The 24,134-nt window shown below is 47.4% G+C and overlaps 2 long non-coding RNA genes across 3 annotated transcripts in view, besides 6 other annotated features; one reads left to right on the top strand and one right to left on the bottom strand.

Moving 5' to 3' along the window:
- Positions 1–24,134, top strand: part of LINC03082 (long intergenic non-protein coding RNA 3082) — a 145,761-nt gene that overhangs the window by 302 nt on the left and 121,325 nt on the right. The window lies entirely within an intron of this gene.
- Positions 1,121–1,928: an enhancer, noted in NCBI's record as "NANOG-H3K27ac-H3K4me1 hESC enhancer chr13:110779254-110780061 (GRCh37/hg19 assembly coordinates)". NCBI's record gives its function as "activates a minimal SCP1, AML or CMV promoter by ChIP-STARR-seq in naive H9 embryonic stem cells {active_cell/tissue: H9 hESC(naive)}" and the evidence as "EXISTENCE:reporter gene assay evidence [ECO:0000049][PMID:30033119]".
- Positions 1,929–2,737: an enhancer, noted in NCBI's record as "NANOG-H3K27ac-H3K4me1 hESC enhancer chr13:110778445-110779253 (GRCh37/hg19 assembly coordinates)". NCBI's record gives its function as "activates a minimal SCP1, AML or CMV promoter by ChIP-STARR-seq in naive H9 embryonic stem cells {active_cell/tissue: H9 hESC(naive)}" and the evidence as "EXISTENCE:reporter gene assay evidence [ECO:0000049][PMID:30033119]".
- LINC03032 (long intergenic non-protein coding RNA 3032) lies at positions 3,601–7,133 on the bottom strand. Its single transcript, NR_148221.1, has 3 exons — positions 6,908–7,133; positions 6,492–6,675; positions 3,601–6,382 (listed from the first exon to the last, which is right to left on the bottom strand). It is a non-coding gene; the product is annotated as a long intergenic non-protein coding RNA 3032 (long non-coding RNA).
- Positions 5,250–6,449: an enhancer, noted in NCBI's record as "MED14-independent group 3 enhancer chr13:110774733-110775932 (GRCh37/hg19 assembly coordinates)". NCBI's record gives its function as "activates an origin of replication core promoter dependent on BRD2, BRD4, P300/CBP and CDK7 cofactors, and independent of MED14, by STARR-seq in HCT116 cells {active_cell/tissue: HCT116}" and the evidence as "EXISTENCE:reporter gene assay evidence [ECO:0000049][PMID:35650434]".
- Positions 6,932–7,031: an enhancer, noted in NCBI's record as "active region_7991". NCBI's record gives its function as "activates an Ori minimal core promoter by ATAC-STARR-seq in GM12878 lymphoblastoid cells {active_cell/tissue: GM12878}" and the evidence as "EXISTENCE:reporter gene assay evidence [ECO:0000049][PMID:35858748]".
- Positions 7,686–8,185: an enhancer, noted in NCBI's record as "H3K4me1 hESC enhancer chr13:110772997-110773496 (GRCh37/hg19 assembly coordinates)". NCBI's record gives its function as "activates a minimal SCP1, AML or CMV promoter by ChIP-STARR-seq in naive H9 embryonic stem cells {active_cell/tissue: H9 hESC(naive)}" and the evidence as "EXISTENCE:reporter gene assay evidence [ECO:0000049][PMID:30033119]".
- Positions 12,512–12,631: an enhancer, noted in NCBI's record as "active region_7990". NCBI's record gives its function as "activates an Ori minimal core promoter by ATAC-STARR-seq in GM12878 lymphoblastoid cells {active_cell/tissue: GM12878}" and the evidence as "EXISTENCE:reporter gene assay evidence [ECO:0000049][PMID:35858748]".

The following is a 24,134-nucleotide window of genomic DNA, read 5'->3' as shown; positions in this document are numbered from 1 at the left end:
AAAGGATTCTATGCTGCTTTCAAATGTCTGCAGGTTTATTTTTAGCTGGACAGGAAGTGCATCTTACGCTTATGTTGGTTTGTAGGCTGCCCCCTTTTTTGGAGGAATGTTATTGTTAGAAAACCACGTTCAGTTTGGAGATGAGTTTGGATTGAGCACCACGCAAATCTAAGTTATAATTATACTACTCTCCGCTATAGATTTTCCAAAATAATCTTTCTGTTCATCAGAATTTGAAACCTTTCAAATAATGGTTCCGTTTGTTATTCACAATTTCACAGCCCAGCAGCTGCCTTTTATTTGTCTTTAAATGAAAGGTCAAGAGGTTTTGATGTAACCTGGGGTTGAATTGAAGGTAGCATGTCCATGTAGTGAGATGTAAAGTGAAAAATAAAAAAAAAAAAACATAAAAATGCTATGTCGTGACCACAAGATACCAGAATCATTCTTATTTGTTATGACTAAACATCCAGTTATTTCAAAGGGAGGGAAATAGTTCAATCCAGAGCTTACCTAAATTTTTCATTGTTTCAGCAAAGGGGCTTGTGATTTGGGGGAAGTTTAGTTCTTAAGTAGAGGACCTTTCCATCAGACAAGCTGCTTGTATTTGTTGCTGGTGCCACGGATAAGCTAGTATTTCAGAAGAGAGCAAGGTAATCCCATCCTAATGCCGTAATGAGGGTCACAGTGAGGTACGGGAAACGGTGGGACTTTCCACCTAAAAATATCTGCCAGCAGTTATATTGTCAGTTGGCTGTGATCTCCACCTCCAGCAGTGAACCTTCGGGGAGGAGGTTCTTTGACCTTCCTTGGTGTGATTGCCTGGGGAAAGTGATCATTTCATGGAATCGTGTCTGTTTCTCCATCCTCTTCTTTGAGGGACTTCTGAATGAATAAGGTATCACTCTCACACCCCAAACCAACACTTTAACCCTCTGTTGAAATACTATTTAAAGGATGGTTGCATGAGGATGGATTCTATTTTTGCCTGTGACCAAACACAATGAGTCTTAAAAAATAGCCTAGATTTCTTTCTGCTTTGCCTTGAGTGATGATTACAAACACCCCAGCCTTCCACGTTGGTAAGGGCCACTCTCAGGTTCACTAGTATATCTGATGGTGACCACTTACTAAGGTGCCTCCTGTGAGCCGGGCACATATCATGTGTGTGGCACGTCCCATCTCATTTACTCCTTACAACAGCCAGATGAGCTACAACACCCAGATGGTGCTCCCTATATCGCCTTTACAGAGAGGTGACATGGTGGTATGGAGGTAGCCAGGAAAAACCGCGCGGAGGCTCCGACCATCCATCTCTTTGCTTTAGGCCTGGGATCACTTGCAGATGAACCATCTGCCCCCTCCCTTGGGCTTTCTGGAGGGATGGACAAAGTACAGTATTAAGGCTACGCTTCTCTCTGTGCAAACAGCCCTCTTCCCATTTTAGGAAGGAAGCTCTTTATGCTGGAGAGACCCCCATGAACTAAGGAGCAGCTCAAAGCGAGCTTCCATGTCCTTCCAGGGGTCTGTGGATCTTCTGCTACTGCTTTAGCATCTCTGCTCTCCTCCCCTTCCCAGGCTCTGATAGAACCCTGAGGGCCTCACTTCCCTTGCTTCTGGACTTGCAACTAGGAATACATTTAAAAAGTCTCCTCCAGAGGAGCACAATTCCAGCTAAGCCAATCATCCATTCGAACCTTCATGTCTTGGGTTATCGGTTTTCTACTGCAAGGGACGCACCTCGTTCCTTGGAGGGTTACATGGGGTTTGTTGATGGTGTAATCAATTGCCCATGTGATTTGGAAAGACAAACTCGGCGGGTTGAAGCAGGATGTATCCTTCCACATTTTAATTGCTCCCAAGAATGATCAGATAATTGCCTTCCTTTGAAGGATCCATGAGAATGTGCTGAAGTGTCCCAGCAAAACAAAAGAGAGTCTCTGAGCGGCTTCTATTCTTGTCTGGCTCTGTTGACAGCGATTGAATGCTCTGGGGAAGAGAAAAGGCTGGCAGGGAGCCTGGGCCCAGAGGAACGTGAGGAGAGCTGGGCCCCCTCCGAGAGACGTTAGTGTGCTGTGCTCATTAGAAGGAGAATGTGCCACTTGTACTGCCTTCTGCTTACTGCCCCTCCTCCAGGGAGGACTTGTTGAAGGCATGAGAAAATATGAAGCCCGACCCCAGGGCTGGCAGCTGCCGCTGCACCGGAGAGCCTGCCTCCGGGAGCCAGGGACGGGCCGACCTGAGCACACACTTCCTTCCTAGCCTTGTTACAAACATTCCTGTGAGATGGGCAATTCTAAAAGGCTTGGCTGGCTTTAAATGGAGATTGTGAAAAGGCTTAAGCACTTTTGTGAAGTCAGATGTGACTCATCTCCTGCCTGTCCTTATGACCTGCTCGTCCAAACAAGTGGATGCATTGGTGAGAAAAGAAAAGGAAAGAAAAAGGAAAAAGGAAAGAAAAAGGAAAAAGAAAAGAAAATACAACCTCGGTATTTACTTTTTTGGTGGTTTCTATGCTTGATTGTCAAAATCCCTGTGGAGATTGGTCAAAGCAACAGTTTCTGGTGTGACCGGGGACCCTGGCTGCGTTCAGGTGCTGGTTTCTAATGGAGAAGATATTTCTTTTTGTGTCCAAGAGTCATGGGTTGGGTGGTCTGGGGGTGAGATGATGTCAGGGTTCAGGCCACAGGGTGTAAATGCAGAAGGACTTCGACATTGCGGACTCCAAAGTCCTACAGGCAGGCTGGGCACAGGCAGGCCCCAGCACAGTGCCTGAGACGGACCTCTGTGTCTTGAATGAGATCACCAGTCCTGGTGGGTATTTCAAGGTTGTTATAAAGTCAGGCAATGGGACCAAGACAGAAGCTTTGAGGACAGAAACAGTGGTTCTATGAGTAGTTCAGTAATGCAGAATCAGGGCCACAGGAAGCTCAGCTTCTGCAAGCTGGTGGCTGCCTCCGTAAAACATGGGTCTTTACAAGGCTCGTGGCCGCTGCAGTTATCTGGGGTGTGCACTGGCTTTTATTCTGATCACTTGTGAGTCTACCTGTCTCCCTGTGTATTTAGTTGCCCTTCTGTTGTAAAGGGTTTAGGGCTTGGGAAGGGCTGGATTCCTGCCCCCAAGTCCTCACCCCTCCCTTGGACTAGTGCCATTGGACTGTGCCTTGGTTGTGTCCATGGACAGTTGTGCATGTGAACAGGCTTGACCACGTGCCCGGTGCACCAAGACATAAGGGCACCAAGTGCATCTCCTCACACCTCTTGCTCTCCTGAGCTCTGTCAGGAGACAGTGTGTCTCAGGTGGCTTCCTGGCCGTGAGGCTGACAGGTGTGGAACACACCTGAACTGAGCCCAGCCGATCCACCCCTGCAGCAGAACTGCACCAGCCCCCTGCTGGCCTTCAATGCAAAAAATAAAGGCTGTAGACCCATGAAGGTTGTACAGGCAATCCTGACCTCAATGGCGGGGATGGGCTGGTGCCCTCCCCCGAAGTAGGAGGGACCTCACAGTCCGTGATGACGCATTTAGTTCAGAGAGGGTGAGGACTTGGCAGCAGCAATCCCATCCACCCCGCTGAGCCACCGAGACTGTAGCCGCCGAGATGTTCAGAATTCACTTTATTAATCAGCACAAATGGATGAATAGAGCATCTTCAGGTCCCAAAGAGTCCTGGGTGAGCCTGGGTTACATGGAGGGTCAGCTGGGAGGTCAGAGGGACCTCAAGATGCAGAGCTGAGCCTGTCAGGACAGGAGGGTCCTAGCTGTAGAGACTTCGACAGGAGAAGGAGAAGGCAGGGAGCCCGGCCAGTCGTGTTTTTCTCAAAGCCCACCAACAGCAAAAGCAACAGCAGCAGCAAAACCCACAGACCTCATCGTTCCCGCAGAGCTCCTTCCTGGAGTCCAGCCACCGCAACGCATTGCCTTCCTGTCATTTGGGTGGTGTGTGCCGCATTCATAGTCATCGTTGGGGGGCGTCTCAGGAACCCCCTCACATCGCTGTCCCTTTCAATTACCCCCCATTTGATCTCCCTCTTTGAAGTGGGGCTTTGAAAGCACATTGACAGCATCATGTGGGTGACTGGCCCCGCTCTTGTACAAAGGTTTAAGGAGATTAGCTCAGCCCCTGGATAAGATGGGTGAACTTCATTGCTCCTTGGCATCCAGGCATTAATCTGTTCTCAGAGCTGCTTCTTGAAGTGGGGAGTGCCTAGGAGACAGGCTGCAGACCTCAGATAGTGAGGCCCTTTGTAGGACACACACTCTCAATAGCACTCGGCCTCCACTGTGCACAACAAAAGACATTTTCCTGAATTATGGGAGGCAAAGTCCATTAAGTGCAAAACTACGGTGGAAAAATGGCTATCACGGTTTCCTGGGAGGTAGCCCCTGTGATTACAAATCCCACAAACTTTCATACATGAGAATTCAGCAATAAACCCTGAATTTCCTGGGGGGCTGTCTCTTGTTAGTTTTTGTCAATCACAGCCTTTTGGAGTTCAAATGGTCTTCCTTGTGCTATCTGTAGTACTTCACCACCTTACGGTGCCACGATGCTATCGTGGTCCATTTCTGAGCAAAACAGATACTCCACAAATGACGTAGGTTTCCATCCTTTTAAGTCTTATTCTAATGTTGGAGAACCTGCATGCACATGTTTTTAATATCTAAATGCCATGAGAAGAAAATGTACCGATGAATTGTGTTTCAAAGCTGTTTTCAAGTTTTTAAAAAATCCCTAAAGCGAAGCACTCTCTTGTGTAGACTAAGTTGGGAAGGGTGCTCGTCTTCCTGGACCAGTTCACACGGGCTAGATAAACCATAACCGCTGAGTTAGGATACCAAATACTGCAGGAACTAACCCCAGTACCGACGAAGCTTCTGTCTGCAGAAAAAGAGTTACACATATCCTCTGGGCATTAGGAAAACATCCTCCTTGTTTCCTTTAGATTCCAAAGTCTCTCCTAGTTTCCCTCCTCTTCCCTCCCACGGACTTTGAAGGGGGAATGGAAGTCAGGAGCTGTGGCTGCTAAGACACAGAGGGCAAAGCCCTGGGAACACAGGGCTTCCCCAGCAGCCCCAGCCCGGCTGAGTGGCACGATGGGGATGGGGGCTCTTGCAGGAGCTACTGCCGTGGAAAGAGAGATTCAAAATCGCCGGTTCTGATGGGCAGCGGGAAGCATGGCTCCCATGCTTATTTGGCAGGGGCTTCCCTGGAAGTGGGATTGGACGCATATGGGTTTTGTCAGCACCTTCTTGCTGAGCAGGGTCTGGTGAAGCTGTAGAAGCTGGGGACCTTAAGTCGGTGGCCCTTTGTCAGAGATTCTGAATGGCTACCCCTTTCAGCTGTGATCCACAGAAGGCAGTTCCCGGCTCCTGCTGGGCTCCAGCCCGAGGTCCCTGGGTCCTCCCTGAGTCAAACCTGGGCGGGGGTGTGCTCGCCTTCATGTTCCGCTCTGTTAGAAGGTTTCCAAAGCAGCGCTCTTTGTGTCCCTGGGTTGAAAAAATTCTTTCCTGGAAGAGCTGTTGCAGTTTTAACTTAAGCTTTCTTTTTCCCCTAAGACCCAACTGTGTGCCCACAGGACTGGACTGAGTGGGTGTCTGCAGCCAGCTCCCTGCGGAGTCTTTGTGACCAGTCCAGTTTACACTTGGCTTTCTATTTTCTCAGAAACTGTGGTCTCCCAGGAGTCACGCCAGCTCCGGGAAGGTATGAATTCTATGAATGCTGTGTGGGTCGGTGCCACCATGAACAGGGCATGCCCAGGCACGTCTCACCCCCATGGCTTCCTTAGGTTCACCTGCTTTCCACTGGCAATTTGATTTGGCTGACAGCTCAGGTGCTCTTTATAACTTCTGTGGGGAAAATTAGAACCCTTATCTCATCAATTACATGAGGGAGGGCTTTCTATCAGATACCTCACCCCTTTCACATGTTCTTTAAAAATATCAGCAGAGATGAGTGAAATACTATTAACAACTAGTGGCTCAATCTCATTGACACAGAATGTCCAGACCCCTGATTATTTTCTGTGATGAGTTGAACTGTGTCTCCCGAAAAGTTCATGTCCTAAACTGGGTACCTCTGAATGTGGCTTTATTTAAAAATAGAGTCATTGCAGGTATGATTAGATGAGGCCATATTAGAGTAGGGTGGATTGTAGCCCAATATAACTGCTGTCCTCATGAAAAGAAGAAAACATCGTATGAAGACAGAGATGCACAGGGAGGGCGCTGTGTGAAGATGATGGCAGAGGTTGCAGAGATGCTTAAAGAGCCAAGAACATCAAGGGCCGCCGGCACCACCAGAAGTCAGGAAAAGGCAAAGAGGGTTCCACTCAGAGTCTTGGAGCATGGCCTCCCGATGCCTTGATTTCAGACTTCTAGCCTGCAGGATGATAAGACAGTAAATTCCTGCAGTTTTAAGCCACCCAGTTTGTCCTATTTTCTTACTGAAGCCCTAGCAAATGAATATACCATTTGTTGTGCACACTCACCTAGACTGGTAGATCTTTTATCCCCGTTTGAAGATAAGAACACCAGCCTCAGAGAGGTTGAGCAGTCTATTCAGCATCACACAGCTTTCCTGGAGCTCGAAGTGGTGCTTGGGCTGGTTGCCGTAGTTCTGGTCTCATCGTTTTGTTTGTTTTCTGCTTTTACCAAAAGGTACATTCCCCTGGTCTGTGAAGCAGGCGATGGAAAGGACCAACAAAGTGATTCAACAAAGTTTTGAAGTGTAATTTCCAGACATTAAGTGTTAAAATCAGTTTTGACAAGTGCATACATCCATATAACCCAAATCATGTCAAAATACAGAACTTTCCCATCACCCAGAGGGCGTTCCCATCAATTACAATCCTCCCACCTTTGATCTGACTTCTCTCCCTACAAGTCAGTTTTGCCAGTTCCTGACCTTCGTAGAGGGGGACTCACTCTATCTGTTTGGCTTCTTTCTTCTGCATGGTTTTAGATCGTCCACACTGTTAGGTACTCAGGGAATTGTTTCTTTTTATTGCTGAGTAGTTTCATGATATGAATTCACCGCAATTTGTTTGCCCATTCGCCTGGTGATGGACATTTAGGTTCTTTCCAGTTTGGGGCTATTATGATTAAAGCAGCTATACATAGCCACACAGCCTTGTGGATATTGTTCCTTTTGTCTCGGGTAAATACCTAGAAGTGGAATTGCTGGGTTACACAATGCAGGTTTATTTAACTTTATAAAGCAACTGAGAAACCATTTACAAAATAGTGAAATCATATGAAGATGAAGGCATGTCTGCTTGCTGCCCTGTGACAGCCCCCTCTTCCTCCTATGACACAGCACAGTCTAATCATGGTGAGAAAGTGAAATGGGTGCATTTGGCTTGGTAACTTGCTGATTTACAACCACACACAGATGGGTCCATGCAGGTGCTGGTTTTCACTGTCGTGTTTCGTAGACATCTCTAGACCTACATATTAAAGTCTCTGGAGGGACAAAACTAATATGGGAAAACTTAGAAATACAGTTTTATTTAAAGATAGAATTTACTTAAATATAGAATTTGTACCTAAACATAGAATTGTTTTACTTAAATATGAAATTTGTTTTACTTATAGAATTTTACTTAAGTATAATATTTGTATTTACTTAGCTATAGAATTTACTTAAATATAGAGTCAATTTCCTTGATTTCAAAAATAGCCAGCTCCTTTCCATAGAATTCACAGGTCGCAGAAGCTACCATTAGAAAATAACATGGATTTAGGGATCTTCTTGGCGTTTCCGTTTATCAAGCACATTCGCAGAATGGGCAGTTTCTTCCACATTCGATCTTACAGAAGGCTGTGGAGGACAACAGAGTAGAGAAACAGCAGGTCGTGTCTCTAAGGAGCCTGGCACAACTGCTAGTGGGGAGAGGGGAGAAGGATGGAAGAGGGTGAAGGAAGAGACGCGGGGAGCCAGGGGGAGCGGCAGGGAAGGGCCAGGGGAGAATGAGACGAAGTCCAAGAGAGGTGAAGAGGGGAGAAGCAGGAGACACGGATGCTGTGGCATAGAAGAACATGGACTGCTAGTGAATCACTCACAGAAGGTGACTCACAGAGACTGGGTCAACATCTCAGGTGGGTGCCACATAAACGTGGTGAATGGCGTGGCTTACCCCATCACTGCGTCAGGGACTGACCAGAGGACACAGAGGTGTGCCCTGCACACGCCACAATGTGTGCACAGTGTGGGGGTACAGTGAATGTCCGCAGCGGGGGGCTGGGTTTCATCTTCAGCTTTGTGGATGATGAATTCTTGATTGGGAAACCCAGCATCTCCCTGATGCCGACTACTCTGAAGATAAAACATCCACAGGGCACAGCAAGTCCCCGATTAAGGTTTTCATTGCAAGGTGGAATGTTGCCCCTTGGGTAACCGTGTGTCCCCAGGGATGGCAGAATGCCACAGCACACAGCACCTGAAAGAGACCTTGCCTCGCAATGTGGTGGGGCTGGCCCTGAGCACTGACTCTGTAATAACCAACTGTGAACCTGGGGCTGCGCCTCTGCCTCTCTATGCCTCAGTAGGTTCTTCTATGAAATGGTCATTATAATCATGGAGTATACAACATAACACAAACCACTGAGCCGTGTCCCCAGCATACAAGGTATGCTCCAAGGACACCAGCTCTTATTATCAATACTTCTCTTTACTCTTTTATTATCATGAGAGGAGTAACAGGAACACTTAGCGCTTAGCTACAAAGCATTCTATCTTTAGAAAGTTTGCATGATACAGGGTGGGTCCATTTAAGGTCTGGAATCTACCAGCTGTGACCTAAACTTGTTTAAGTTGTTATTTATTTTGTAAACCTATTAACATAAATTTTTGAATAGGTAACATTCATATGCTTCAAAAATAAGAAGTAAAACACTGAGAAATCTCTCCTGTTCCATTCACTCACCTCCTGCTTGTGCCCATCTCTACCACCCTAGGAAGCCACAATCATTTGTTTATCTGCTTCTAGTATGTATTAATGCATATAAAATAAATATATTTTTATTCTTTTTTTCTTGAGTTTTTTAGACAAAAGATTGCATACAATTCACATGTCTGACTTTGCTTTTTTATGATTAATTTAGTCTACCTTGGAGAGCTTTAAACACCAATATGCATAGAATTTGCTCCATTCTTTCATTACAGCTGCATATATTGCATACTATGGATGTACCACACTCTAACTAGTCCTCTTTTGTGGACTCTTGAGTTGCTTTTCTAACACTTCACTCTTACCAAAAATTTTGCCATAAATAACCATGTGCAGGCATATCTGTAGGGTATCTTCCCGGAATGGGTCAACAAGTATCAGCATTTTAATTTTAATTTTTATTTATTTATTTATTTATTTTTAGTTGGAGTCTCACTCTGTTACACAGGCTGGAGTGCAGTGGCATGATCTCAGCTCACTGCAACCTCTGCCTCCCAGGTTACAGCAATCCTCCTGCCTCAGCTTCCCGAGTAGCTGGGACTACAGGCATGCGCCACCATGCCTGGCTAATTTTTGTGTTTTTAGTAGAGATGGGGTTTCGCCAGGTTGGCCAGGCTGGTCTTGAACTCCTATCTTCAGGTGATCCACCTGCCTCGGCCTCTCAAAGTGCTGGGATAACAGGTGTGAGCCACTGTGCCCAGCCTAGCATTTTAAATTTTGATAGATATTGTACATTTTCCCTCTAAAACAGCATCAATTTACATTACCACCAGCAGTACACAAAGATGACTATTTCTCTTCAGCCGCAACAACAAGGTGTACTATTAAACTTATGGAAATGAGTCTAGGTCAAAAATACTATGAGTGAAGTTGAGCATCTTTTCAGCTATTAAAGGATCCTCTGATTTTTCTCTTTCTCAAACTCTTGTTCTTGTCATTTTCATACTTTTTATTGGATGGTTAGTCTTTTTTAAAAGTAATTTTTTTTTTAGAATATCTGTGATGAAAGTTACATATATTTCTGTCCTTGATTTTGAACTCAATTTTGTCTATGGTATTTTAAAATTATTTTAATTAATATTCCATGTTGGCACGTAGAATTCCTAACACAAATTCAGAATTTTCAACTTTTTAAAGGCTTCTCTATACTGAATCACCAGTTTGCAAGTTCTGCTCTATCCCAAGACGGCGGAGGAATTCCCCCATGTTTCCACGGGAAACGCTCATGGTTTCCCTATTGACATTTGGGTCTGCTGTCAGTGGTGTGCTTGTGAGGACCTGGAATCAGCCGTGGCAGGGTATTTTTGCCATGAAATTGGCAAATGCCAAATTATCCAGGGTTTTTTTTTTTTTTTTTTTTTTTTTCTTAGAGCCATTTAGTAAGCCCTTGTGAGCATGCTACCACCTTTAATCGACTTGAATTTTTAACCGGATGTCTGCCACTTCCCATAGCAGGGTTAGTGCATCCCCTGGGACGGGAGGCAGTCAAGGGCAGGCACCGAGCCCATGAAAGCCTCGACAGAGGCAGCTCTGCTCCCCTACGAGCTCCAGCAGGAAGCCCGCAAGGACCCATTTTCCCCATGTTCACGGAGCTGGACTGGAAGCCCAAGCTGGTCCAGCCGGCACGGGCAGTCAGAGGTTGGAAGCTGGGGGGGCCTCCCACATTTCTGCTGGATGCTGGGGCCCAGAGCACTGCGCTTCCTTGTCAATCAACATGTTGTGATAAGGGGAATATTGGGGGTGCATCTATCACCTCAGGGGGAGAAGCATGAGTTTAATGGTGGAGGAAAGGTTGACCTTAGTGTATGACAAATTGTTTGTTTGTTTTTTTCAATTGTTTGAGAGACCTAGATTTTCTTTAATGTTCGGGTAGGTGGGGACCAAGGAGGCAGCCAGGACAGCACCTAATCACAGGTGCTGAGAAGGGCTCAAGTCCCAGGCAGGTCCTGGTGGCTCACGCCTGCACTCTTAGCACTTTGGGAGGCCAACGTGGGTGGATCACTTGAGGTCAGGAGTTTGAGACCAGCCTGGCCAATATGATGAAACCCCATCTCTACTAAAAATGCAAACATTAGTCAGGAGTGGTGGCACACACCTGTAATCCCAGCTACTCAGGTGGCTGAGGCATGAGAATTGCTTGAACCGGGAATGTGGAGGTTGCAGTCAGCCAAAATTGTGCCATTGCATTGCAGCCTGGGCTACAGAGCAAGACTCTGCCTCAAAAAAAAGGGGGGGCTCAGGTCCCCCAATTCCTGCTTGGCACCTGGTACCCAGCTCCCATGGGAGACAGCAGGGACCGCCTCCCGCCTTCTGAACCTCCTGAGAGTCCATTTCATGTTACCTCCTTTCTTTTTGTGCTTGCTATGGATTGATCGGGGTCATTTAGTGGCTGTTTTTCTTCATATTTTATTTAAGCCAAATTCTTAAATAAACATACCTTGGAGGTGCAGGCAGATAATACCAGTGGGAGATTTTCCTGAAGTCCTGAAATTTTCTAACAATGGCTCTACGTGGAATTGTGTCTAGCACAATATTTTTTAAAAAATTAGAGTAATTCTCATAAAAATAGTCGTTGACTCATGTTCATACAAAAGAATTTTGCCTCTAATTTTTTTCCTTTCCATGTTTTTTTCTCTTTGTGCCTAACTCTTCTGCTCCCCACGCCCCAGAGGAAAACTCCTTACAATTCTTCCCTTAAATAACTGTTGAAAGGATGATGGAGACGCTCCTGGGGTGACCGAAGGAAAAAGGGGAAACCCATGGTAACATGAAATGAACTCTCAGGAGGTTCAGAAATTGTGTCTCGGGGTATTTAAAGCTCATCTGGGAAGAGCGTTAGATGCCTTAGAGGAACTTCCCCAAAGGGCAGGGAAGTGTCAAATCGGCCCCTTGCTCCGCTCCTGACTCCCCGCCATACAGGGCATTGCCGCACCTTGAGGGCCCAGCATGGGCGTTCCTGCCTCTGAGCCTCTCTCCCTGCTGCCCTTTCTGCCCAGCCAGGATGGCCACCCACTGCCAATGTGAGCTCACAAGTCATCATCTCTCTGGAGGGTCCTAGTCCCCACCCGGCCTTCTAGGCTGTGTTGTTTCCCTTTTCCGTTCCCACACCACCTTTGCTCATTTCTGTGAAAGCACCGATCCCATCGCATGCAACACTCGCCCCCCGCAGCACATGTCCTATTGTGGTGCACTCTTGAAGAGTGGGCCAATCTTATCGTTTAAAAAAATTTCCTTTGACTCCAGCTAAATGCACATGGAATATTCTAAGCAGATGTTTGAATGCATGAGTTTGCATTTGCACGCGTGCACACACACACACACACACACGGCCCTCCATAGCAAAATGCATCACTTTTTCGTTATTTAAAACATTTAGATAATTCTGGTAAAATTATGCTCTGTTTTCCCCTATGTTTTCTTCCTTGTTTTGCAATCCCCTTGTCTACCAAGGATCTCAGCAAAAAAAAAAAAAAAAAAAAAAAGTCTTTCCCTTGGATAATGCTCGTATTAGCTTCCTATTGCTGCTGTAACACATTGCGACACACTCGGGGCTGAAAACTGCACGGATGCATTGCCTTCCAGTTCTGTGAGTTGGAGTCTTGGCGGGTCTCCGGCGGCGCCCGGTTCTGGAGGCTCAGGTCGGGGAACCGCGTCCTTCCCTTCCCAGCCTCCAGAGGGCGCCCCTGCTCCTCGGCCGGTCTCAGACCTAAGCGCGCGCCTGGCCTAGGAGCGCTTGCGCCAAGTCCCAGAAGGAAAACCCGCTTTTTAGCGGGTAGAGGATCAAATGATGGCAGAGGAAAACACGCAAGCACAAAAAGAAATGGAAATGGATAGACGTTTTCCATTAAAAAAAAAACTCACTACTTTTTCTCCTATATCTTCAGTATCTGTGTCTTCTTTTCTAACACAACACAAAATACAAAACTGAATAGAAAACAAATGTGAATTTTAAAAAAAGCAGTCAACTTGATTTATCACAAACATACGTGCAAGCTATGCTCTAGCAAATATATGTCGGTGTGTTTTATGTTCGTTCAAATTACGTAAGTCACACAACAGAAGGAAATATTTCAATTCTTCATGGTCTTCTATAAAGCACACAACTTACTGGAATTGTGGGTTCTCTACCATTTGCACACATTTGAAGATTTTAATCAGATCCAGTTGGTTTTCTTATATTGCATCCTTTGGTTTTCTGATGCAGGGCCTGCAGCTGCATCTGCTTAAATGCTGAACATTTCAGGAAACTCCCTTCTGACCATGGCAGCTTAATTCACTGGTAGCCACGTCAAGATTTGAGGCACTTTTCTCCTGTTGGGCAGTCTCCGCCCTTCCTGCACCTTTTTGCAGCTGGCCACGCCCCACAGAACTCAGAGCACACCTATGCCTTGCACTGTTCTGGGACATCCTCGAGTGTCGGTGGACAGATCAATCGTCTTACCGTGGCTGCTTCTCCTCAGCCGGAGAGAGACCACTGAGGCGCAGAGGAATGAGAGGAGTCCAGCTATGGCCTAGGCAAGTCCCCTGGCCTCATGGACCTCAACCCATTGGCTAACAGAGAAAAAGTGCTGCCCTGCATACCTCATGTGATACGACTGGAAGAGATAATGGTCATAAAAACATATAGTCTTTTTAAAAAGTAGTGGAACTATCTCAGGTTCTTTAACCTTTCCTAACAGTACCCATAACCTATTTCACTGGACAGGTCCACCTAGTTCAGAGTGCAGTGAGACTGTTACACCTCCCACAGCCTGGACATCACACTCAGGACATCATATGTCTGTTGTTTTCTTTAAAAATTGCAGGGACATTATGCAGTTGGAATCACCTCTGTAGACAGCAGGTAGAGTGTGTTACTCTAAGAGGTGAACCTGCTAAAAACATCAATCAAGTCACACACAGTTGCTAAATGCTCAGTAGAAAAACAAACTCTGCTACAGGGAAGACAAAATTGGCAGAAGACATAGTATCACTCTCAGGAATTTATGGAAGAGTTGAGAGATCAGACAAAGCACATAAAACCACCAGAGAGCAATATAAGACAATATGTAAAGAAGGATAAATCACCTGAGGAAAGACAGAAACTCCACTGGCCTCAGAGATGGGAGAATGTCAAGGAAGGCTGCAGGGAGAAGGAGAGGGGGCAGCCCAAGTCTCGAAGGTATGAATTTGAGCTGGAAGAGAGAGAAAAAAAGGTCAAGTTGCCAAGGAAAAAGAGAATAGCACATAGAAGGGCTATGAAACAAACATCTGGAATGAAAACAAACCACCTCAAGGAGAGTTTACATAAGATCTGTATATAAACACACAGTTGCAGGAAGTTGAGCTTGTTTGAAGGATACAGCTAACATTTAGGAAGGAAACCTGCCCTTTTCCCCAAATATCTCTTGAAGATGCTCTCAGAGACTGACCGTGTGTCATTCCCTTAGTCATTCATTTACCAATACAAGCCAGCCACCCTCCAGTGACAGATGTGGGGGCATGAGTGTAAATGTGGCACTGGGTCTCCCCTTGGGGGGTTCCCGGCTTAGCTGGAAGGAAAAGCACACACATTCTGCTTTTATCAGCACGTACTCTGGGCTTCACCCGAGCTCTGTCTGCAGTGATTTGGGAGGACGGAGAAAGGAGCAATTCATTGTGCCAGGTGAGGGCTCTGGGAAGCATTCATATCACAGATGGCATTGCAGCAGGTTGAGGAGGGTACAGTGTTCCCCACATAGATGGGGACAACGGGCATTCCAACAACCCTGCCTGAGACATACATGGAGAGACCAAGCACAGAACAAATGTATGCAGTGGCAGACACTCCAGTGCGTCCTAGGGCTGTGTTTCAATCAGGGAGCTCATCAGATAACATGGAATGCTTTCCCCAAATGCACCGGGCAGGATCCCTCCTCTGGAGGTTCTAAGTGGCTGGATCCTGGGCATGGGGATTTGAAAAATCTCCCTACAGGATTTTGGCGTGAACCCTTTGTTAAAAAGCAAGGCGTGGGGGCGAGGGTCATGGGCGGCTGGGGGTTGAGAGGGGAGGCTGCCCCAGCCTGTATGGTGGCCCTAAAGGTAACTCACACCGAGCTCTGACATTCTTCCCTTCAGGAGATGGAGCTTCATTCCCCTCTTCTTGAGTGTGGTTTGGACTTAGCAACTCATTTCTAGCAAACACAATCAGGCAGCATGAGGATGTGCGATGTTTGAGATTGGGTTGCACAAAGGCTGTGCAGTTCCTCTTTACTTTCTCTCCTGGGCCTCTTACTCTGGAGAAGCTGGGTGCCTTATCATGCAGATACCCTGCAGCCCTCTGCAGGAACCCAAGTGGGAAGGAACTGAGGCCTCTGGCCCACAGCAGGGGGATGACATTAAACATGATCCTCCAGCTCTGGCCAAGCCTCCCAATGCCTGTGGCCCTGGCTGACATCCGGATTGCAACCTCATAAGACAGCAGGAGCCAGAAACACCCTGTATTCATCATACCTTTTTAGTTCTGATGACACATCTCCTTGCTGACACAAGAGAGCCTGCCCCTTCCAGGGCTAGCTCATTCCTAGAGACAGCAAACATGCTTTGAGCATGCTGTGGGTGCAAACCAACCTGGAACCCACACCATAGCCACCACCTTTATAGGGCTTGCTCACTCTGGGCCAATGCTCACCCTCCCTAGGTGCCCCGGGGCCAGCAGCAGACAATTAGGACAGACACCCCCAAGTGTGCTGATGGTGCCTCACCTCACTTTTCCCACACAAAGCGCAGTAAAGGCAAGAACCCAGGTCTCGTCTGCTCCCTCTGCCCCTTGACCCACTTGGAGCTTCCCTATGTGCCCCCCATGGTGTGGCGTGACCCCTTACCATGGTGTGGCGTGCCCCTGTGCTTTTCTTCCTGGGAACTGTGAGAAACAAACTGTCTTTCAATGGCAATCATCTCCTGCCCCACTGGCTTCCTCATCCTTACAAACCACACGTTATACAAAACACCCAGCTCAGCTGCTCTTGAATTCCCACCCCACAGAATCTGTGAGGTCATGAATGTAGGTTGTCTGAAGCAGGTAAATTTTGTGGTGGTTTAATTATACAGCAGCAGATAACTAACACAGCCTACGAAGATCTGGAGATTTGGAAATTAGGGAGATACTACAGTTTTCAAGGACAGCAACATGCTGAGTCTCTAATTTATTATTAGTTTTTAAAACAAAACCATTTATCTTCTCAGTTTTGATGGGTCAAGAGTTTAGGAGCCGTGGGGCTGGAAGGCTCTGGCTCAGGGCTTTTCACAAGGTTGCAGTCAAGGTGTTGATGGGGGCTGTGGCCAGCAGAGGGCGTGACTAGGGCTGGAGGACTCGGTCTTTTTTTTATTATTATTATACTTTAAGTTTTAGGGTACATGTGCACGATGTGCAGGTTAGTTACATACGTATACATGTGCCATGCTGGTGTGCTGCACCCATTAACTCGTCATTTAGCATTAGGTGTATCTCCTAAAGCTATCCCTCCCCCATCCCCACACCCCACAACAGTCCCCAGAGTGTGATGTTCCCCTTCCTGTGTCCATGTGTTCTCATTGTTCAATTCCCATCTATGAGTGAGAATATGCGGTGTTTGGTTTTTTGTTCTTGCGATAGTTTACTGAGAATGATGATTTCCAATTTCATCCATGTCTCTACAAAGGACATGAACTCATCATTTTTTATGGCTGCATAGTATTCCATGGTGTATATATGCCACATTTTCTTAATCCAGTCTAACATTGTTGGACATTTGGGTTGGTTCCAAGTCTTTGCTATTGTGAATAGTGCCACAATAAACATACGTGTGCATGTGTCTTTATAGCAGCATGATTTATAGTCCTTTGGGTATATACCCAGTAATGGGATGGCTGGGTCAAATGGTATTTCTAGTTCTAGATCCCTGAGGAATCGCCACACTGACTTCCACAAGGGTTGAAAGGCCTTTGACAAAATTCAACAACCCTTCATGCTAAAAACTCTCAATAAATTAGGTATTGATGGGACATATCTCAAAATAATAAGAGCTATCTATGACAAACCCACAGCCAATATCATACTGAATGGACAAAAACTGGAAGCATTCCCTTTGAAAACTGGCACAAGACAGGGATGCCCTCTCTCACCACTCCTTATTCAACATAGTGTTGGAAGTTCTGACCAGGGCAATTAGGCAGGAGAAGGAAATAAAGGGTATTCAATTAGGAAAAGAGGAAGTCAAATTGTCCCTGTTTGCAGATGACATGATTGTATATCTAGAAAACCCCATTGTCTCAGCCCAAAATCTCCTTAAGCTGATAAGCAACTTCAGCAAAGTCTCAGGATACAAAATCAATGTGCAAAAATCACAAGCATTCCTATACACTAATAACAGACAAACAGAGAGCCAAATCATGAGTGAACTTCCATTCACAATTGCTTCAAAGAGAATAAAATACCCAGGAATCCAACTTACAAGGGACGTGAAGGACCTCTTCAAGGAGAACTACAAACCACTGCTCAATGAAATAAAAGAGGATACAAACAAATGGAAGAACATTCCATGCTCATGGGTAGGAAGAATCAATATCGTGAAAATGGCCATACTGCCCAAGGTAATTTACAGATTCAATGCCATCCCCATCAAGCTACCAATGACTTTCTTCTCAGAATTGGAAAAAACTACTTTAAAGTTCATATGGAACCAAAAAAGAGCCCGCATCGCCAAGTCAATCCTAAGCCAAAAGAACAAGGCTCAGTCTTTGTTAGATAAGGTATCTGGGAGAGCTGCCAAGGGGATGGTAAGGGGGTGAGCAGAGATGGGAAAGCGCCACGTGGGACACCGTTCTGTCCCGCCACCCAGCCCGCCACGCAGCCCTCCACGCAGCCCGCCACCCAGCCCGCCACGCAGCCCGCCACGCAGCCCGCCACCCAGCCCGCCACCCAGCCCGCCACGCAGCCCGCCACCCTGGCCAGCCTTATCTTCTTAGTCTGTTAATCTTCTGCTGATATTGTTTGTTTGTTTGTTTGTTTGAAATGGAGTTTTGCTCTTGTTGCCCAGGCAGGAGTGCAATGGCGAAATCTCAGCTCACTGCAGCCTCCGCCTCCCAGGTTCAAGTGATTCTCCTGCCTCAGCCTCCCGAGTAGCTGGGATTACAGGCACCCACCACCACACCTGAATAATTTTTTATATTTGTTTTAGTAGAGATGGGGTTTCACTATGTTGGCCAGGCTGGTCTCGAACTCCTGGCTTCGGGTGATCTGCCTGCCTTGGCCTCCCAAAGTGCTGGGATTATAGGCATGAGCCACTGTGCCTAATATTCTGCTAATGTGACCATCCTAGACTCCGTAGTAAGAGATTCTAACTTTGAAAACAGCAGAGTTTGCCTGATTTTATTTGCTATTTTTCAAAGCGTGCTGTTTCATCAGTGCCTATGCAATGATGTCTATTTTCCATTGGGGTCCTGTCAATACCAGGTGAAAGAGGGGCACCTGTCAATACCAGATCTACTTGGCTGCTCTCCAAGAAGATCTGGTATTTACGGTTGCCCCTCTTTCAAGCTCAATCCCTATCTGTTTGGAGTCTAAAACAACCTGCAGACTTTCTTCTTCCCTGTGGGTTTTCCCTTGTTTAGTTTATTTATATCGGAAGACTCCACGAAGGGATCAGAGCGGACAGCTTGGGACTGAAGGGCACGTGGTGTCTGACTGGTTAGACAGTAGGGAAATAAGAGCTCCACAGAGGGAAGGGAATGGAGTAGCTAGCGCTTGGAAAGAGACGGCTGGGGGTTGACTTGGCAGCTTCTGGGAGTGCATGGCAGGCTTATCCCTCCGTGGAGGACAGGCCTGACTCAGCCGCCTGTCTCCATAGGGGGAGGAACAAGGCGGAGGCGTGCATGGCCCGGCTGCAGGACAGCTCAACAGCAGGAGCATCAAGGGCTGCCAGGGCCCTGCAGAAGGCACCGCTCCGCCGCAGAAACTGCCTTTTCCGTATTAGGATCATGATCCTGTAAAGGTGCAGCTGCTGTACCATGCTAATGAGCTCTTAAAATCTGTATTGCAGCACGTAAGTAAAAAGTCTGAACAAACTGTCTTAAAGAAAGAAGACGAAGAAGAATGAACTATCAGTCACTGTTGTGAGCACTCTTTGAGGAGGCAAGGAGAAGTGTGCTTTTAGAATTGACTGCGTTTTAAAGGACACAATGCCATTTTCTTGGAACTGGAGCAAGATAGAAATGTATGAATTTGTTGTCCCAGAGGGTGACGAAACTGTCTCTCAGGCAGAGTTCAAAGACCCCGAGGGACCCAGGAGATTTGTGGGAACGTCAGTTAGTGGGTTTCCTTTTTCATATGAAAAGGCTCCAGCAGTTAACCAGGCGTATTTAGGAGCATGGTGATGTGAATTTCCAAGGCTCCTCGGGGTAGCATTGCAGTTTCAGACCACACAACAAAGTGAAGCTTCCTGAAATTCAAGACATTGTTGGGGACTTATCTCCAGTAAGGATCAGTTTAGGGACACATAAGGGAGACAGGCCACGCCTCTCTCCTGGTGTCCTCTAATACCCTTAGCCAGCAAGCACCTTAGACTACGGGAAGGGGGAAAATGGGGAAGAGGTCCCACTGATGTGGATAGATGGTCCAGTAGGGGTGTTTCTGAAGCCTGTGCCTGGGGTCTTGGCGCTTTCCCCTTCTCTCTGCCGGGGCTAGTCCCTGACTCCTGGCCCCTGCACCCTATATGTCCTTTTTCTTGTCTGAGCCTAGAGACAGAAACCACCCAAGACCAATGTCAACTTGCCATGTCAGCCAGGAGCCTTCCCCTGGGTGGCAGCACACTCCACACAAAGCAGGCAGAGCAGGCCCGCTGCAGCATCCAGGCCCTGCTGGGAGGGATCCCTACTGGAAGTGCACTCACAGCCTGGTCAGCCTCATTCCTGGGCCTCTTGAGGCTCCCATGCATTTGCCAGAGCCCGCCCACACTTGCACTCCTACACTCACTTAGAAACACACACACACACTGCCACAGCCACACACACACTCACATGTACACAACCACATCAACACTCACACACTTATTCACAAACTCACACACACACTCATACATGCACACAGGTGTATACTTGCACATCCACACTCATAAATGCACATCCACAGCCCACACAACCTCATGCACATACACATATACACACATTCACACTCATCTCTACCCACACACATGCACACTTATTCACAAACTTATACATACACACACAGGCCCATACTCACACACACCCAACACAGGCAGTCACACACGCACACACCCTCTCACTCTTGCACGTGCACACACATTCTCACACACACTCCTATACTTATTCACATACACACTCTGTGACACACTCATGCTTGTAGACACTCACATGCACACTCGCCCATACCTAACATGATGTTACACACACTCAATCACAGCATGCTCACAATCAAACCCACACACTGTCACACACTCACACACGTGTGTTCTGTTGCACACTCACACTCTCACACTGGTGCAGTGCCTCCCTTGGGCACCTGCTGTCTTTGGCTCTAAAGCTTACGGAAGTGGCGGCCTTGCCCGAGCCAGGCCTAGTTGCTTGCTAGGGCCTTGTTAATGGCGCCTCAGTGTGGAGAACGGCGGGAAGTACGTTTTGCTTCCCAGGGTGGTTGATCCCGAGACCACAGGTTCCAGCCTGTCTGCCGCCCCAGGGTGCTGACAGGAGCTGCCTCCACTGCCTTGTGTGCCATGTCTATATTAAATTAGGGGTCCCCATGTCCCCAAGGCCCACTCTCCGCTAGGCTGTGCCCCTGACGTTCACAGAGGCAACACCCTCTTTGATGACTTACCAGCGTCCACAGAGTGACTCCAAAGGCCAGAAGTGCCAACAACTCAACTGGGCACTTGGCACCACACTTGGAACCTCCGACTGCCCCAAGCATGTGACCCGGGAGCCTCCTGGATCCATGCTGCTGTGGCAGCTCCCTCCAGAACTTCAGGTCCCATCGCCAAGGGATCCCTGAGAACAGGGCTGACGGAGAAGGTCTGGGCCTAGTCTTAGCAGTGCCACCCTTTTGTGGAGGGACAGTGTTCTGAGCCTCGATATCCTCCTATGGAAAACAAAGGTTTTAGGACTTTGATCTTAGTGCACTCGGGCCACTGCAATGAATTGCCACAACCTCGGGCTTGACACAAGAAGTGTGTTTTTTCACAGTTCTGGAGGCTGAGGGTCCAAAATCATGGGGTCCACAGGCCGTGGTCCCTCTGAAGGCTCCGGAAAGGGTCTCCCCTGCTTCCAGCCTCTAGTGCTGATGCAGTCCTTGGCATTGCTCGGCTTCCAGCCACATCGCTCCCGTCTCTGCCTCTGTGGTCACTTGAGGTCTTCCCTGTGTGTCTCGGTATAAATTTCCTCCTCTTAGGAGGACCTCCATCATTGGATTAAGTCCCCAGGTAAGCCAGCATGACCTCATTTTAACTCGATCACATTCACAAATACCTATTTCCAAATAAGGTCCCATTCACAGGTACGGTTTACAACTTGAACTTGGCTTTCTGGGAGACACAATTCACCCCTAACACTGACCTTCAAGATCGTGACATTTAGAGATGATGTGTAACCAGAGATTATTAATATTACAGTAAATGACATGAAGAAAAGGAATAAAGTGTCAGGCAGCTCTACCCACCAGCCTGAGCACATTTCTGAATCTAACTGGCAGCTCAGTTTGGGGGCAGTTCTCACCCTCATCTGATCTTCTGCTGCTCAGGACTGAGAGTCCTGCTTTAGAATCTGCTCAGCCCTAACATCTCAGGGCCCCACAGAGGCTCGGCCTTCCTTCAGCGAGGCTGAAGGACCTGGGAGGTCTCTGAGATGAGGTATGGGGGAGTGCCACTCTACTTCCTTATTAGGGGCGAGCTGTCTTGGAGCTGGTCTCGGTAAAGAGCTGTCTCTGCTCCTGCCCCCAGCCTGCTCTGCCATGCAGTGCCTCTGGGCAGCTTCCCAGGGCTCAGGTCCAAGCTGCAGCTCCTTGCCTCAGAGCACACACTGCTTTTAGCTTCAAAGTCATGGTCAGCACTCCAGCCCCAGCTCTCTAAGCCTGAAATTCAAAGCAATTCCCAGAGTCAGCGTGGCCTTTTGGAGGTACCCCCTGTTATTCATCGATGGAGCCCCTGTTCCCGTGCAAAGGACAGCCCACGTAATCACAGCTCCATCCTGCGCCAGGCCTCGGGGAATGAAGTTCATCCTCATGTTGGATGGCCGATGTCCTCCATAAACATTCCACAGCTTCGTAAACTCATGACTGTCTTTGAACACAGGCTGTTCCTATCAACCTTCAATCTTCAACTCTTTCCCTTGGGCGACCCCTTCCCAGAAAACCTGGCGTTTCTACACTTTCATCTTTAACGGAGTGTCTTTGATATATGCTGTCACTTCTGTAATATACTTGTGAAACATTTTCTATGACTATTGTCGTAAAAGAGGAGACCAATCCTCAAGCCATATAACAACAGCAAGAAGTCCATTGACCAACATAAACATATGTCTACATAATTAATGCTGTTTCCTCTAAGAAGCTGGCTTGCATGTGAAATGAATGAGAGGTGCTGATAATGAATTGAGAAGTAGTCGCCATACGGCTAATGGTTCCAGGACCTGTCGTTGGCTCTGGAGACAGAGTGCTGAGTTAGGTATCATGGCTCCATCTTCACCTGCTGGCTCTGTGTCCTCATGGGAGTGAGTTAACTCATCCAAGCCTTAGTTTAGGCATCTGTAGAATGGAAATACTAGTAGGCCCCATCTCCTAAATGGATTCTCAGCTTGCCCTGATGCTCCCGCTGCTGGGCTGTCCTGCAGGCCGGCCATGCACCCCTCTGCCTTGCCCTGAGGTAATCCATGTGCAATTCCTTACTGTGTTACTTGGCTCATAGAGGCACTTAGTAAATGTTAGGCATTTATTCTTAGCAATCACACTATTAACAGAAATAAAGGAAGCCAATGGAACAGTGATAGAAAAACCTGGAACTTGGGTTCAGAATGAACTCTTTCATGTTCTAGTTAAGTTTCTTCAGAAAAGTCAAAACTTCTTCCAACCTCACCCACTGCACCTCTAAAATGGGATAATAATGACATTCCCTCACACGGATGCCATGAGGCTGCAATGCATGGAAAGATGTGGAGTTGCTATTCCAAAGTTATTTATCACTAAAGTCATTCAAGCTCTGTTTTATTCCCAAGAAATAGGTAGGAGAGTTAAAGACATCTTGACTTTGTAGAATGAATGAGACCACATGTGCTGAAGTCCTTCAAAGTTTGTCAAGCTTTCACCATGTGAGGCACCACGATGGTTACTAAGGAGACACTGAGCAAGGGCCATAGATGTGGCTTCCAGTGTAGGTCTTGAAAAGGACATGACTTGTCCATGAACCTGGACTTGAATTCTGGCCCTCATTCCTCTCAATTAAGTGTCGCCGTGAGTGGCTGGGCCACTTTTGCACGGAGTTACTTTCGGTCAGCTGCCTCTGCCTGCCCTTGCTAAGTTCTCAAGAGAGCAAATGTCACAGCAGTCTGTGCCCTGGGAACAGGGAATGGGCCTCACACTGTCCCTCCCACCACATGGCCCCTGTCTTGTGCTTTAAAATATGACATCTAAAAAATGCAAACCTGCCAGTACACAGTGGAGTCTAATCTCATGATGTCAGAATGCTTGGCAGGCCTTGAGATATCGTTGAAGATAAAGCCGAAGGGGGCACTATGGGAAGTGCTCCTGCCATACTGTGGGGAGAGACTTTTTCTAAAATAACATAGGAACTGTTTGTCAGGGATGGAAGAGTTTGGTGGTGGTGGTTGTGGTCATGTCTTGGACACCATAAAAAAGGTGGGAGGAAAAATCTGCAGAGGACCTGCTGAGACACCGTGGGAAGCAGCCTGCATGGGGGCTGCCCTCTGGGAAGGAGCAGGCTGTGTCGGGCAAGTTGCTAGCTCCAGGGCCTGGGCACGAGGCTGTGCAACATGGGCCGGATTGGACTGCTCCTCACGGGACCAGCTTCTCGCTCACCTGGCAAGGCCCAGGCAGAGAAGCCTGAGGTGGGCTCCCACAATCACAGACCCAGTGCATTTGGAAACAAACAAACAAAAAACAAAACGCCAGCTCTGGCTCCCAGATATGGATGAGATGTTACTGTCCTCCTCCCACAGGCAGGTGCA

Source organism: Homo sapiens, chromosome 13, assembly GCF_000001405.40.
Source record: "Homo sapiens chromosome 13, GRCh38.p14 Primary Assembly".
Classification (NCBI taxonomy): Eukaryota; Metazoa; Chordata; class Mammalia; order Primates; family Hominidae; genus Homo; species Homo sapiens.
Note: the sequence above shows the minus strand (reverse complement) of the source record. Positions and strands in the feature narration are given on the sequence as shown.